The 15,627-nt window shown below is 40.5% G+C and overlaps 1 protein-coding gene and 1 long non-coding RNA gene across 14 annotated transcripts in view; one reads left to right on the forward strand and one right to left on the reverse strand.

Annotated features, from left to right (window-relative positions):
- Positions 1–1,596: 1,596 nt before the first annotated feature.
- USP6NL (USP6 N-terminal like) overlaps positions 1,597–15,627 on the reverse strand; it is a 151,141-nt gene continuing 137,110 nt past the window's right edge. For all 13 annotated transcript variants that reach the window (XM_024448263.2, NM_001391960.1, NM_001391961.1 and 10 more), the window contains one exon: positions 1,597–4,936. In XM_024448263.2, the coding sequence (XP_024304031.1) occupies positions 3,528–4,936 (1,409 nt within the window). In that variant the 3' untranslated portion in view covers positions 1,597–3,527. The remainder of the gene's footprint in view (positions 4,937–15,627) is intronic.
- On the forward strand, positions 4,870–8,291 carry LOC105376411 (uncharacterized). Its single transcript, XR_930658.3, has 2 exons — positions 4,870–4,959; positions 8,120–8,291. It is a non-coding gene; the product is annotated as an uncharacterized LOC105376411 (long non-coding RNA).

Here is a 15,627-nt window from a genome sequence, read left to right on the forward strand (position 1 = left end):
AAAAAAAAAAAAAAAAAAGTTTCACTTCTTAAAATCCACTTGGCCAAAAAGCATTAATACCCACATTAGATACAGACATTTAAAATCCATTAAAGAACAATTTAAAAGACAAAAAATAAAAGAAATCCTAAAACCATAATCTTAAAACTCACAATCAAGTGCACACTAAGATAAAGGACTGATTCCAAAACATAACCAAGAATAATCTCCAATCCAGAAGATGAAGCTGCAGGTCCTCCGTGAAGAGATCCTACTCGTAGACATGGCATGCTTTTCTCGCACCATGACAGTGAAGAGAAAGGGGTTTCAGCACCATGCTGACCAGGTGTCTGTTCTTGTGCTTGCATCCTAAGGGAACCCGAGGGAGAGACCTGAAGTGACTGCAACTATGAAAGTCTACTTGAGAGTCCCACTGAGTATGGCGAAATTTGTAAATTTCGGCATCTTCTTCCGAAATGGAATCTTCTTAAAATGGAAAAAGAAAGTTGAAACAATCGCATCCTATAAACATGTATTTTTCTGCTCCAGAGCTGTCCTCTTGGTTGAATCTCTTTTCACTTTTTTGAGACGGAGTCTTGCTCTGTTGCCAGGCTGGAGTGCAGTGGCGTGATGTCGGCTCACCGCAACCTCTGACTCCCTGGTTCAAGCGATTCTCCTGCCTCAGCCTCCCGAGTAGCTGGGATTACAGGCACATGCCACTACGCCTAGCTAATTTTTGTATTTTTAGTAGAGATGGGGTTTCACCATGTTGGCCAGGATGGTCTCGATTTCCTGACCTCGTGATCCGCCCACCTCGGCCTCCCAAAGTGGTGGGATTACAGGCGTGAACCACTGCAAATACTAAATTTATAAATTACTACTTCACCTGGCCTCTTTTCATTCTTTCAATGAAACAGTCTATTATTGATACTGATACCTGAATTTATATACATTTCCCAGCTTTAAAAAGATGTTCATTTTTTTTAAAATCCTATTAATAAACAAACATATGAAAACGTCAAAGTTTTAAAACTTTTGAGATCCTAGGTCTAGTTTCTTTAACTTCTCAGACTAAATATTCTATAAAATAGAAACTACGCCAAGCGCCTACTAAGGCAAAATTGCCACAAATAAAAGACTTAATGGCAAAATACACCATGTACATGCAGTTACAGGGCAAAATCAGTCTCTACACTATGAAAATCTGTACTAAATGGGTTTTTCATAAATATACTTTACCAATCTTTTTATATCATTATTTCATTATCTCTTATTAAAAAATAAATTTGAAAAAGTAAAACTGTATGGTGGCAAGATAATTTCAAATTACATTTTCCTACTTAGAAAACAGCTACATTTTGTAATGAGGAAGACTAGAAATGCTACCTTATTACTATTGACAATGTCATACTAAATAAAATAAGGAAAGACTATGTAGTTTTAAATATAGTCTTACTGGAAATTAGTAAAGCATTAAACATAGAACTGTGACATATACAAAGTAACACAGGTGAATACTAGGCAACAGCTACTCCATTAGAAGAGAATTAGCCTTCAAAGCATCAGGGGGTGCACCATTTTTGCCGTATGAAAAAAATGCACATAAAAGACACAAAATATACTTATTACTTTTAGCATGTTAAAAAACAATCACATCAAAAAAGTATACAGATAAAAAATGTCATAAATGACATAAGAAAATAGTGCTTGTGTGTATATATATATTTTTTGCATATATATATATATATATATATATATATATAAAAATCTACAGTATTTACCACTGTTGATATATATATTTTGGAGCAGCTCAGATACTGCTATTATAAACTAAATTGTACAGCTTGGTTTATTACAAGTCACAGAATTATGGTTATATAATGGGAATTAATATCCTCAGCTACATATTTATATACATTTATTTCTCAGCTTCCACCTGACCTGCATCAACAGCCCAGTTATTTCACCAGAATTTTGTTTGCGTTTCAATGTAGTGTTTAGCTTTAATACACTGCACTTGTTTTGCTATTTAATAACATCATTACCAAGTTGATCAAAATTACATTAGACTCATTATATACATAAAATATATTGTCACATTCACTAGCTAAACAAACGTTACTTCCATTTTAAAAGACATACTTTTGTACCTTGAAAGTTTAAAGCCCCACCTTGCAACAGGAAGAAACATCAATGTCGGGTTTTCTACTATTCAAATATAAGCAATGTTGAAAACAAGCTCCCCAATTAAACACGAAGTCATACTCTCTTGGAGTGCCTAAATCTTTGTCAGTGTTTTGGTATCTGTAGTGTAACAGAATATTTTTTAAAGACATCACTAATTTTTTTTTAAGCCAAGAACTTGAATTTGTTTCAATGAAAAAAAGATGTTCAAAAGCATGAAATCACACTGTATTTTTTAAAAGATCAAAATCCTAGACTCCTATGAAAAACTAGGATCATTTTTATAATTTTAACATGGACAATGTAATGGCCTGATGAGGTGCAGCAATATCCGTCGACTACATTCCATAAAGAGGACAGAAATGGATTGTATAAATGGCCACCCTGGGACCTTCGTGGGGAGAAGCCATGTGAGTCGAGGCAGAAGAAAGAAGTAACCACACTGCTAATGCAGTTAGTGTGGCTGCCCCACATGAGTACTGTGAGCACTGAGGGATCAGTAAGCTGCAACTTCTCCTGCTCTGAGATTCGCAAGAGTCAGACCAGAACAAAGGGCACAAACGCACTAAGACCAATCTCTTAGTATGTGGATGTGATAAGCACTGCTGCACCTTTGGCCGTAAACTTATTTTAAGTGCCCCGATTTTTAAGCACCATTAAGTGGTTAGCCTTTCTCTCCAATGTCTTTAATTTTCAGATTGAAAGAAAATGGCAACAGCTGAAGGAGAATGATGAGCATTCTGTGAGACTGCAATTAATAAAGTCAGGACAAACTCTTCAGTCAGTTTAGGACCCAGGTTACAAATATATGAGAGGGAAAAAGAAAAACTGGACTAAAAGACAAGGAAAACAAGAATTACATATTATTCCATGGATCTGGATTAAAAGTAGTTTTTTAAAAAACGTTTCTTTAGCTCTGTGTTCAAATGTGGATGAACAGATGCCTATATCTATTAAAAGACACATACACTACATATAGCCTTAAAAATATCTATTCTACAGTTTTTTCAGTACTTTGTAACATTAGTCAAAATAGAATGAGCCAACAGAGTAAAAATGTTCAGGTTTTGGAGAAAAACATAACCGGAACTGAGTAATAAATTACCACTGTGCGTGCATCCCTAAATGCTATTGCGATGTTTCCGGGTTAAATTCTAACAGGTCAGTGATGATGCAATTGAAACGCTCATCTTAAGCAGCATCTACGTGGGGCTGAAGACATTTCCCTGTATTCTTACTACTAACAGACAGGAGAGATGTGCGAGTTGTTTACAATAGTATAAATACTGCTTTGGCAATTATGAACATAGCAATGTAGGTTTCACGTGGTTTCTCTCTCGTCTTTAGCAAGTACACGTCAAATCTCACAGCAACACTGACTCTTGGATGGAAAGCCCGTCCCGATTCCTGTAGTGGTAGGCTGGAGGCGGGGGCCCTGAATATGGATATCCAGATGGACTGGCATCTTCTGCGGCCGGTGAAGCTTTATATCTCACGGGACTATCTACAGAAACTGCAGGGAGGCCATGGTCCTGAAAGGGTGCGAGTTGAAAGGCTGAGTATTTTGGTAAATTGCCACGGCTAGCATCTCGGGTCCATGATTGTCCCTGCGTCTCAGGTCTGTATGTATAACTAACTTCTGACCATGTTCTGTTATCTGGCAAGTAATCCACTGGTGGAATGATCAATTTTCCATTCTTTGGTGACCCTGAATTGCCCGAATATCCCCCAGCACCAGTGTCAACAGGGAGGACTTCTATTCGACTAGACGGCAGTACAAGGGGGCTTGGGCGGCTGTAAGATTTCTCCGGAGAAGCACTGACGGAAAGAGTAGAACCATGAGGTCTCCTGGAAGGATTCAGTTGAGTCCCAGGGCTAAACTGTGGAGAAGCAAAGCTGCTGTTGGCAGTAGGGAAGTGTTTGGGAGAGTTTCCGTGGTAAACGGGGGGATTGCTGTAGGAGGGGGGATGAGCTAGCCCTCGGGCTTCCCCATCTAGCTGGGACGGATATCGTGCATGACTTGGAGGCTGTACTTTAAAAGTAAACTTGTTGGATACTTTTGATGGACTAGAACTTGGCTCAGCGTGCTTTCTCGGGCTAGGAGGGTAAAGGGCATGCCGGGGGCTCTGGGAGTAAGCCCTTTCCAGCGCCTCCTCCACGGAAGCGCCGCTGTCCAGCTCCGGGCCTGGCACGTTGTCGTACTGCGATGCAGTGGAGCCCCGCTTCCCGTCCTCAGCATCCAGGGCCTTCATCTTTGGCCGCACGTTTGACACCCGCACCTCGGCAGGACCTGGGACGGTAACTGCGAGCGCGGGGTGCGCTGCTCGACCTTTGCCTTCCATGGTGTATTTGGCAGTTCTCTCTGTAGCTGAGACGTCTGACGGTTTATTCCATTTGGGCACAAACTCCTTCCTGATATTTGAAGTGGCGTTGCTATTTTGGTTGGCAGCTGCGTGATTATATTGCCTGGAACTGTCCTGTGGACCCGATGGGAGTTTTCTTTGAAAATCTGCCTCATCTTTAAGCTTTTTGCTCTCCTCCTCCACCGATTTCCGTCTTGGCGGCTGTGCTCTCTCGGGCGTCCCGGTCCTGCTCTGGGGGTGCGGGGAGTGCTCGTGCCTCCTGTGGGGCGCCCCGCTCTCCCTCCTGCCGCTGGCCAGCGGGCTCGGCCGGCCCACGCTCCTCTGTCCGTTGCTCAAGTGATGGACGCCCCAAGACTGAAGTTCAGGTGGAAGCTGCCCCAAGGGCTTCTTTGGATATTCATCCTCTTTACCTGAAAAGAAAGAGAAAGGCTAAGTAAGATAATACACGAGTAAACAGTAGCCAGTTGAAGCAATCCATTAGTAACAATGGCATGCTTTTCATCTGTGCACAGATACACGCTGACATACAACACACTGTCATACAACACACTGTTTATACCACTTACACACACTGTTTATACCACAGAAAGTTGGTAGCTGATGAGAGGTGTTTTTTAGAGACTGATACTAAAACATACCAACACTCACAATTAGGCCAAATGTACAGAGCAGGAGAGTGCCAGCAAGGAGGCGGTCCTCTGAGCATGGGCCTTGAGTCGGGGACAGGCAGGCACACATGCAGCCTTGAAGAGTGCGGCAAGGAATCTGGATTTTATTCCAAGTTAACTATAAAATACTAGAGGCTTTTCAGCAGAAGAATTACACGACCTCATGTCTATCTTAGAAAAATAACTTTAATGGTGGCCGGGATTTCGATTGTGGTACTACTGAATGATGTGACACTAATGGCTGGTACTCACTAGGCAGTCACTGCGCGCTGGCCACTGCTCAGAAAGCTGTACCTGTAAGGCCTGCGATAGGCAGACAGTGCAGGGCTCTACTATTTTCCCACATTTTGATGGAAAATGGAGGCAGAAACTAACCTGCCCAAAGGCTCACCACTAGCAAGTCACAGGTCCAGAATTCAAACCCTAAGCTGATTCCAGAGCCTTTGATCCTCCTCCTCCACTATACCACCGTGGAGGCAGTGAGAAGAAGTTGCTTCCTGGGTAATTGTTAAGGCAGTATCTGCACACCTGCTCAATGTGTTAGATGTGAACTGTGAAAGAGCAAGCAGCGCATAGCATAACTCCTGGCCTGAGACAGCCACAGGCAAATCCTATTCTGGAACAGCTGGCAGAACCCACGTTGTTCTTATACCTTTTGGTAAGAAATATATTTTATAATATGTGGACCAATTATTTCAATTGGCAACCCAAACTTTAAAATGCTTGTAATTCAGAAAAGTTTTCTTTGTTTTATGAATGTGTATGTGAAATAACCTTGAAATGCCAGGAATGGAGAAAGTAGACTTTAAATACTAGCAAGTCAAGAATACTTCAAGTAGTTATTCAGCACATCAGGTTAAAAAGTAGCAATAAAAATAAAATTAAAACCTATCCAGATTCCTCCAAAAGTTTTTTTCTATCAGCTCTACAAATAGGTAGTCATCCATTTAGTCCCAGATAAATATATGAATGCCTTCTTCCCTGTAGGCAAATAATCCCAACAAACACAATTTATCAAGAAGATATAAAGACATGAATAATAGAAAGACTGAATTTATAAACTTTCCTTTAGTCCTCACTGTCTGACAGTTTTCTAAGGGCAGAACCCAGTAATCTGATTGGCTAATTCAGTGGCTGGCTGATATTCCATCAGACAGCAATATCAGCCAATCATCAAAACATCCTTTTCAGGTTAGCAAGAAGAAACCTGATGAAAAACATAACCATTAAAGAAAAGGAAAACTGTGACGCCCAGAGTGGTGAATGCATGCCTGAAGATGCACTGTCACAGGGGCAAAACTGGATTCGCTGCAGAGACTGTCACACTGAGCCCTGGAAGCTGCCTCACTTCTCCACCACTCACTGGCCTGCAGAGAGCCACCAACTTTTTAGCTCACATGAAATAATTTAAAATGTCTTTTAAGATTCTCCATAGCAGTATTTAAAAAACAAACAAAACCAAAAAAGGAATAGATTTCCAGCTGGTCTGCTGCTGCTGCTGCTGCTACTGCTGCTGTGCCTGTACGTGCTCTCCCCACACCGTGCTGGCAGCGGAAGCACCCAAGCTGCTCTCAGTGCTGCCTGGAGGTGCCCAGATTCTGAGTTCCATGTTTCAGTCTGCATCAATTCTCAATTCTCAATTAATGAAAACTCAATTCACCTGACATGAGGCGTTTCTAAGGGCAGCTACCCTTAGCTCTATATCCCCAATCTCAAAACTGGATTGTTTTAAATAAATTTTAGGGACTGCCTTTTTCTGTTAGCAAAAAGTCACCTACTTCATTATTTGTGATAATTTGCTTGTATGGTCCTAGCACATTTTCAGTGTCAACAATGTAATGAAACAAACTACAGTGATTATAATAAAATGTATTTTATACAACCCCATCAAAAAAACAACTGGGCAAAGCAAATGTGGAAGGTAGACACAGGCAGTAACAACCCTATAGGGGCATTTAGAGTTCCAATACTTTGCAGATTTCTGTATGCAATTTTCTATGTCTTGTGGTCACCAATTTATTCCTGAGAATGGTTAACATGGGTTCGGCTTCCAAAGTGTTTTCCCTAGACACTCAGCTATCACTATTTATTGATGATAATCAAGTAAAATCATACCCCTTTTAAGTGTGGTAACCCAGAATTTAAGCAATATTCTAGGTTTGAACTAAGATGGGCGATTACTTCCCTCATCCTGAACACTGTAGTGGAGAGTGTATCAGCTATCTGGCGGTCACACTGTACTGCCCTCCCTTTAGAGACAATGTTTCCCAAATGTTGTTAAGCTGTGTGTCTCCAAGGCACAGTGGGAACAGCAGGGTCAACAGGAACAAGTGACCTGAATTTGAATCTGCCACAATAAGCTGTGTGAACTTGGGAGTCTCAGAATTCTCATCCATAAATGAAAACGGCAATATCTATTTTATAGATCCGCTATGAGGATAAGAGTTAATATATAAAGAAAAACCTAGCATATTTCCCGACATATAGAAGATGCTTAGGAACTGGTAGTTGCTATTACTCTATACAGTCATGCATCACTTAATGACAGGCATATGTTCTGAGAAATAAGTTGTCAGGCAATTTCATCACCGTGTGAACATCAGAGTGCACTAATACAAACCTAGATGGCACAGCCTACTGCACACCGAGGCTCTATGATACAGCCTACTACTCCTCAGCTACAAACACATACAGCATGTTACTGTACTCAATACTGCAGGGTCACTGGAACACAGTGGTAGGTATTTGTGAATCTAAAGATAGAAATGGGACAGTGAAAATACGCTATTTTCGGCTCACAGGGCCAGCATTCTATATGCAGTCCACTGTTGACCGAAAGTTCATTAAGGAGCTCATGAGGGTAGCTGTTTTTAGACAGGTTCAAAGTGCTTTACATTGATTCCTATCTCAATTTATCTTACTTAGACTCATCATTTCAATCTGGGATCTCCCTGGAATTTTACATTAATTATACCTCCCCATGTGACGCCATCCACAAATCTGAACACCACGCTACCAATGCTTTCATCCAAGTGACTGGTAACAAGTACTGAACTGAGTAAGAACAAAAATGGAGCACCCTAACTTCTCTAAAAGGTAAAGAACTCTCAAAGGAAATGGAGGATGCCCTATATAGAAAAATTAAATAAAGAATATGAACAGGAAACTCAAAGAAGAAAAGAGCAGGTAAATATATCACAAGTTATCAGAAAAATGCAAATTAAAATACTTCTAAATTGGTATATCTCACTACTGTGGGCTTGGAGAAACAAATTCTCCAATTTGACAATGCATATTGAAATGTTTGATCTAGGAATTCCACCTCTGAGAATTTATCCTAAGACAATTAAGGGATATGCAAAATATTTGCTATAAGGATGTTCAAAACTGCATTCTTTTAGAAAACTTATATCCTCAGCATAGAGGATTTGTGAAATTCAGTAACAATTATGAAACAAAAATATGGTGAAATAAGGTATAGAAACTTGTAGCAGCCTACTGCCATATTAATGTATTTTTAACACTAACTAGTTAAAAAGAAAGTTATAGACAATATGTGTAGTATAATCTCATTTACTATGAATGACATACAGGCATAAATCAATACATATGTCTACAAAAATGACTGAAAGAAATAAACGCTAGTAGTCATTAATATAGTTTTTAAATGCTCTTAGATTGAATGATTATTTTTCCTTAAGTACTACATATTTTTTCTGCTGTAAACATGTATTAATCTGAGTAACAGAGAAGTATGAAGTTTAAAAGCACAGAATACTGTTCTACAGGTAGGATGACATAAATCTGCAGTTTTGGTGTATGACTTGTAAAAAATATTTTTAGCTTATCCAAAAAAGTATTTTAAGACTTTGCCAGACACTTTACTTTTGTTGATGGCATTCTTCCAATTCATTAAATGAGCAATCTTACCAAAAAACAAAGTCAGATTAATCAAGTATGGCATCGCTTGATGGAGTCATGATGAGTGATCACCTTCTTTGCTTTCTGAGTGATCAAAAATCCATTTTTAATTAATCCATTTATTGATTCTTGCCTCAGACAGGCATCATGTTTACTTGTCTGTGATTTACATTATTCAACTTTAATCCTCTGTAAAAAGTGGAACTACATTTTTCTTATCGCTGCCCTTCAAACACCTGCTTGGCTCCACATCCTTTCCCAGATGACTGTCAATCACAGTTCACTCAGTCGAATGGTATGTTCCAGGGTCTCTTAGTCACAGCTTGGCCGCACTTGGCTTCAAGTTCCTCCTATCAATATTTATTCAAATGTTCTCATTCTAAAACCTCTTTTTCACTGAAAACATGGAAGCGAAACACTACTGGACTACTGCCTACACCCCTCACTCAGAGGAGTGGTCCTGTCCTTCCCCTAGTTCTCATTCAAATACACAGAGGCCCTTGGCTGGCGTTAGTTACAAGGACAGGGTAGGGAAGAGAGGTCAAGGACAGCAGCAAGATGGTTTCATAAAACACCAGTGTGGTGCAGGAAACAATAAACTGTAGCGTGGGAGTGGAGGGGAGGAGGTGTGGGAAAAATGCGGAACACCTTTGAGGAAAATGTTGCCATGGCATGGTCTATTCCTATGTTGTGATATTCACAGATTTTCATTCTGGAATCCTTTAGCCACAGAGGAGGCACATATCAGTAAAGACTGAGCTGGACACATAGTAAAATGTAGAATTACCAATATAAGGCATGTGTTTCTTAGGAGAAAGAAAAAACCAATTGAGAAGTAATGGAAGGACTGAGGTGGTAATTTCAGGCACAAAACAAAATGCAAAGGTATGTGTCATACATACGTAGGAGATTTAATTTTTTAATATAAGGAGTAAGAAAAATATTTACCTTATAATTAATTCTACTTTATATTCCAGTAAACACAGAAATGTCTCTCTCTAAGGAAGAGGGCCTAATAGTCTACACATCACACATCTATGCATCATATTAGAATTAAAGGAAAAGTTTAACACGTTCCATTTATTGAATGGACAAGAGGCCAAAATGCACACTGGGGAAAAACAATCTGTGGCTGTTCTGCAATGTCCAAAAAGCAGCATCTTAAAGTTCTTTCATGGCAGCCCCTAATATCTTTTCCCTCCCCCTAGTAGGCTATAACCTACTTACTTCTTTTGTATTCCTTCCCATAGTATCTAAAAGCATAATACAATCACAAGGAAGGTGTTGACAATGTTCGTTCACTCAACTATTCATATGAGTTAGAGTAATGACACACTGTCCATATACACAGGCAGAAACCTGAGGGTTATAAATATCCAAGATCCATATTGCTAAGAAATTAGATGTAGCAGGGTTCGGGGGGGAAGAAATCCAGTACAGACAAAATGACGCTGCCTCTAATCCATTCCTAAATGATAACCTCTCTTTAGGAACTACTGTTTAAGAGGAATATGGCAAATACCTCAACTGTAGAAAAACATTTAGAGGTTATGGCCTCTTTGCTCTGCAGAGATTTTCAATAAGGATGCAAAAGGCAGGAGACAGGGATATAAGAAAGCCTTTCAAATACAGGTGCTGAAAAACCCATTCCTCCACATTTTAAAGACAATAAACCAAGTGAGGCTGGAGGCCCCGCACAGTGGGGGATGGGCATTCCCAAGTGCCCAGATCAGACTACAGGGCTGGGGTTTGCTTCACTTTAAACAGTGCCAGCTCACTCCTGCTTTCTAGAGTGATCCATGGCCAGGGAGCAGGCTAAATACTAACAAGTATAGCCCGTGCACGCTCATGATACCTGCACCAACGTCCATCTCCCATGAACATTTGCTGATGCTAACGCTGCGATTATGCCATCTACACATTTCTCCCACAGCTGCCTAACACCTCTGAATAGTGTAATATTCTCAGAAATTCCACAATGAGCAGTGTATATACAGCTTACGTTTCCAGGGAGGCCCTCAGGCCCCCGGGGCAGCGCTGTGGAGGTAGTAACGCTGTGCCTCTCATGAGGAGGAGAAGCAAGAAGGGGCGGAGACAGTGAAGGAGAGGTGAGGAAGAAGGAAGACGTGGCGGGGAGGTCACGGAAGGCAAGTAATGGAGAGGACCAGAGAAGCAGCCAGCAGCGCAGAGGGCATGAGGATGGAGAAGGTGGAGGATGGAGGCAGCCGCAGGGAACCTCATGGAGGGCCCGCGGGGACTCGCTGGCTTTTCACAGCCTCTGTAGGGACAGAGGCCTCGGCTCCACCAGCAATACGGAACCCAAGGACGCCATGCCAGGATCTGGCCTCTACTATGATGAAGAGGAAAATCTCCTTGACTTCATTACAGAGGCGGTTCCTTTCTAGAGATTAATTATTCAACCTCCACTGAACTGAAAACACATCATGCAGACCCTGTAAGAAGGACGAATGCCATCACCAGTAACATTTTTATATGCCAATTAGTATTCTCTACCCTTCTTCACAGAAGTAGGTCCAAATAAAGCATTCAACATTTTGGTGTGATCTATTTTCAGAGCTATCTCAGCCTGCTTGAACTACCACCCCTAACCCCACCACACAAACACTGCTCTACTTGTCTTTGGTTTAAATATCTCCTTTCACCCCTAAGCAACTAACTGTAACTAAAACATTCACACATAATTGATGTCAAAACAGAAAACTATATATAGGCAATAAGCATTCCTATTTATTATCCACGCTTGCATTCTGGGCTTCTTTTCAATAGACAGAATCATGTTTTTGCTCACTCCACTACAGTCTCATGCCTAAAATTTTATTTTCCCTTTCCTCTCCCTAAAAACACAGGAATTGGAGGCCTGGCGTGGTGGCTCACGCCTGTAATCCCAGCACTTTGGGAGGCCGAGGTGGGCGGATCACGAGGTCAGGAGATGGAGACCATCCCGGCCAACATGGTGAAACCCAGTCTCTACTAAAAACACAAAAAATTAGCTGGGCGTGGTGGCAGGCACCTGTAGTCCCAGCTACTTGAGAGGCTGAGGCAGAAGAATGGCGTGAACCCAGGAGGCGGAGCTTGCAGTGAGCCGAGAACGCCACTGCACTCCAGCCTGGGCGACAGAGTGAGACTCTTGTCTCAAAAACAAACAAACAAACAAAAAAAACACCACCAACAACAAAAAACACCCACATAGGAATTGGAATAAAGACTTACTGCCAACCACTATGAGATACCATCTCACACCAGTTAGAATGGCAATCATTCAAAAGTCAGGAAACAACAGGTGCTGGAGAGGATGTGGAGAAATAGGAACACTTTTACACTGTTGGTGGGGCTGTAAACTAGTTCAACCATTGTGGAAGTCAGTGTGGCGATTCCTCAAGGATCTAGAATTAGAAATACCATTTGACCCAGCCATCCCATTACTGGATATATACCCAAAGGATTATAAATCATGCTGCTATAAAGACACATGCACACGTATGTTTACTGTGGCACTATTCACAATAGCAAAGACTTGGAACTAACCCAAATGTCCAACAATGATAGACTGGATTAAGAAAATGTGGCACATATACACCACGGAATACTATGCAGCCATAAAAAATAATGAGTTCATGTCCTTTGTAGGGACATGGATGAAGCTGGAAACCATCATTCTCAGCAAACTATTGCAAGGACAAAATACCAAATACTGCATGTTCTCACTCACAGGTGGGAACTGAACAATGAAAACACTTGGACACAGGGAGGGGAACATCACACACCGAGGCCTGTTGTGGGGTGGGGGGAGGGGGGGACAGCATTATTAGGAGATATACCTAATGTAAATGACGAGTTAATGGGTGCAGCACACCAACATGGCACATGTATACATATGTAACAAACCTGCACATTGTGCACATGTACCCTAAAACTTAAAAAAAAAAAAAAAGACTTACTGCCCTACTCCTTAAAGGGTAAGGAGGCACCACAACTCCTCACAGATACAGTAGGGGATGCTTTTGTGAAAATACCACATTTTTTATATTTCTCATTGGTGTTTGCCTAAGTGGTATTTTTACGGCAGTGCTAACAATTAGAATAATCGCTTCAACAAAAAGGAATGTAACTTGATACATTTTAGAAAAAAGCAAAAATGTTTATTATTTTCTTCTTAAGTAACTTTTTTTCTTAAAAAAGAAGCCAACAAAATAATATTCTAACAGTCCCTAAAAAGCAAGGAAGAGTCCCTCTCAGGCCCTTCAGGCTTGTCCCTGCTTGATCTTACTCTGGTCTCTGTCACCCCCCAGTGGACGCCACACTCAACTACAAGCCTCGCCCATCAACGGCCTCTGAGGCCTTAGCAGGTTTTTGCACCTGACAAGAGGCGCATCATTGCAGCAAAGCGCTCTAAGTGCTCGCTCTGTGAGCAGCATTCTACCTTTACACTTTCAATAGAAGAATACACACACTCTGACTGTTCTAACAGTTTTCGGGAAGAATCGGTGGGGGGCCACTATCAGGAAAATAATTCTACTATTCTAGGAAAGAGTTATCCCCTTCCAGATCAAACAGTAAGTCCAATTGTATTTTTAAATATTGCTGACTTCAAATATACTATCTGAAAAATCAAATGACTTTATATTTAATGTAATATTAGCCAAAATATACAATTCAAACACTTGTAGCTTTCAATAACATGATGAAAAGAAATAGAATTTGCTTTCTAAAGTATGGCTATAATTTTTTTAAAGTTCAAAAAATTTTTATAGTTGGGTTCATAGGCTTGACTTTTTTTCCCAGCAGATTAAACTTGAAAGTTAAAGGAAAAAGAGACTATTATGTAAACACATCTCTCACTATAAACCTATTTAATGCCACATAAATTCAAGAGGTCTTTGTTAAGTAACTTTAAAAACCTACACTTTGTCTCCTAGAGTTTCAATTTTTATACACATGTAAAAATGGTTAAATGTAACATCATTTTACATTATATGAATAAATAAAAGTGAAAACCCACTCCAATCCTCAAAAAGTGGGGCAATTTCTAAACTGACATACAATAAAATGGCTTCGTTTCTATGTATGTGCAGTCAAGCTAGAGAATGGTTTCACTACCCCCAAAAACTGCCTCAGGCTAACCTTTTATAAACAGTAGTTTTTTTATTATCTAAAAAATACATTAGGATTTCATTTATTCAATAAAAGTAACAAATACAGCCACAGCCACAGCCCCGCAGTGTATTAGGTGCTGGTGAGGCAGGAGCCGGTTACTGTCCCAGGGAACTTTCTGTCTAATAGAGACATGACTGACAGAGGCACTGGAAGTGTGAGGACAAAAGCATGTGTAGTGGACGGGTCAGGCACAAAACACAGGTGCAGGTGATCAAGTTCTGTGGGTTTGGGGAGGCCAGGCACCGGCTGAGAAGGCTTCAGGCGATGCTTAAACCAAGTCGTGAAACTTGGCAGAAAGGATGAGGACAGAGGCATCTGGGGAATGGTCGGGAGCATTCTTGGAGGAGGAGCGTATTCCAAGGCAAAGTGCCTTGAAAGAGCAGGCCGATTAGAGCTGTGAGCTGCAAGGCGCAGGGCCAGGTGGGTGTAATGCACAGCTCTGGAGTCAACTGACAGAACTCTCATTACCAACTGTCTGACCTCGGGCAGGTACTTAACCTTGAAGCCCAAGTTTCCTCCTTGGTAAGCTACTAATAATAATACTGATCGCAAACTCCCCATGAAAACTATTCAAAATTAAAATAAATGTCAGTTAATTACAAATTATTGCCCTACCAAATTAGGAACAAATGAAAAGAACAGAGGATTCCATCAGGTTCAAAGATTTCTAAAGGTAAAAAGTCAAGATCTTCTGGGTGGAAAGGGGCAGACCCTGAGGAGAAGGAAGAATGAGGTGGTGGGCGACGAGGGTCTAAGGAATCCAGACTATGTGACAAAGCCATCTCGCAGGCACCACCTTCGAGATAATAAAGGCGGTGCCACCCGATGGAACTCACCTGGAGTTCCAGCTCATGCTTCAGCTGACTGAGAAAGTACACCCCAAGTTTACCTGGGAAAAAAGTCTTAATTCCTGAAGATCCAGAACTAAATGGCAAAGTTTAAGAGAATCAAAGGTGATTAATTCTGTAGTTTTTTGCATTAAGGAATCTGTTTGTATTTAGAATTTTCTGTGTTTTATATATTTATATTTCAGAGAATTTGGCCAAGTTGGCCTTCTTATGCCAATTTAAAAATATGCAAATGAGTCACTGATTTGAACTTTAGATTTTAAACTTATAAAGAGTATACTGAAACAAAAGACTTAAGGTTCAGGATATTCTTAAGGTTGAATTAATTAGATTTGTAAGTTTTTTAGAACTAGGACACATTTTATTTAAATTGAAATTTGATACATTGAAAGGAAACTGGATATATTACATTTATAAAGGCAATTAAAAACGTTTGTAGGAATTTATGTTTATAAGTGGAACCAAACATTAAAGTTCCATTAGACGAGA

Source organism: Homo sapiens, chromosome 10, assembly GCF_000001405.40.
Source record: "Homo sapiens chromosome 10, GRCh38.p14 Primary Assembly".
NCBI classification, from domain to species: Eukaryota; Metazoa; Chordata; class Mammalia; order Primates; family Hominidae; genus Homo; species Homo sapiens.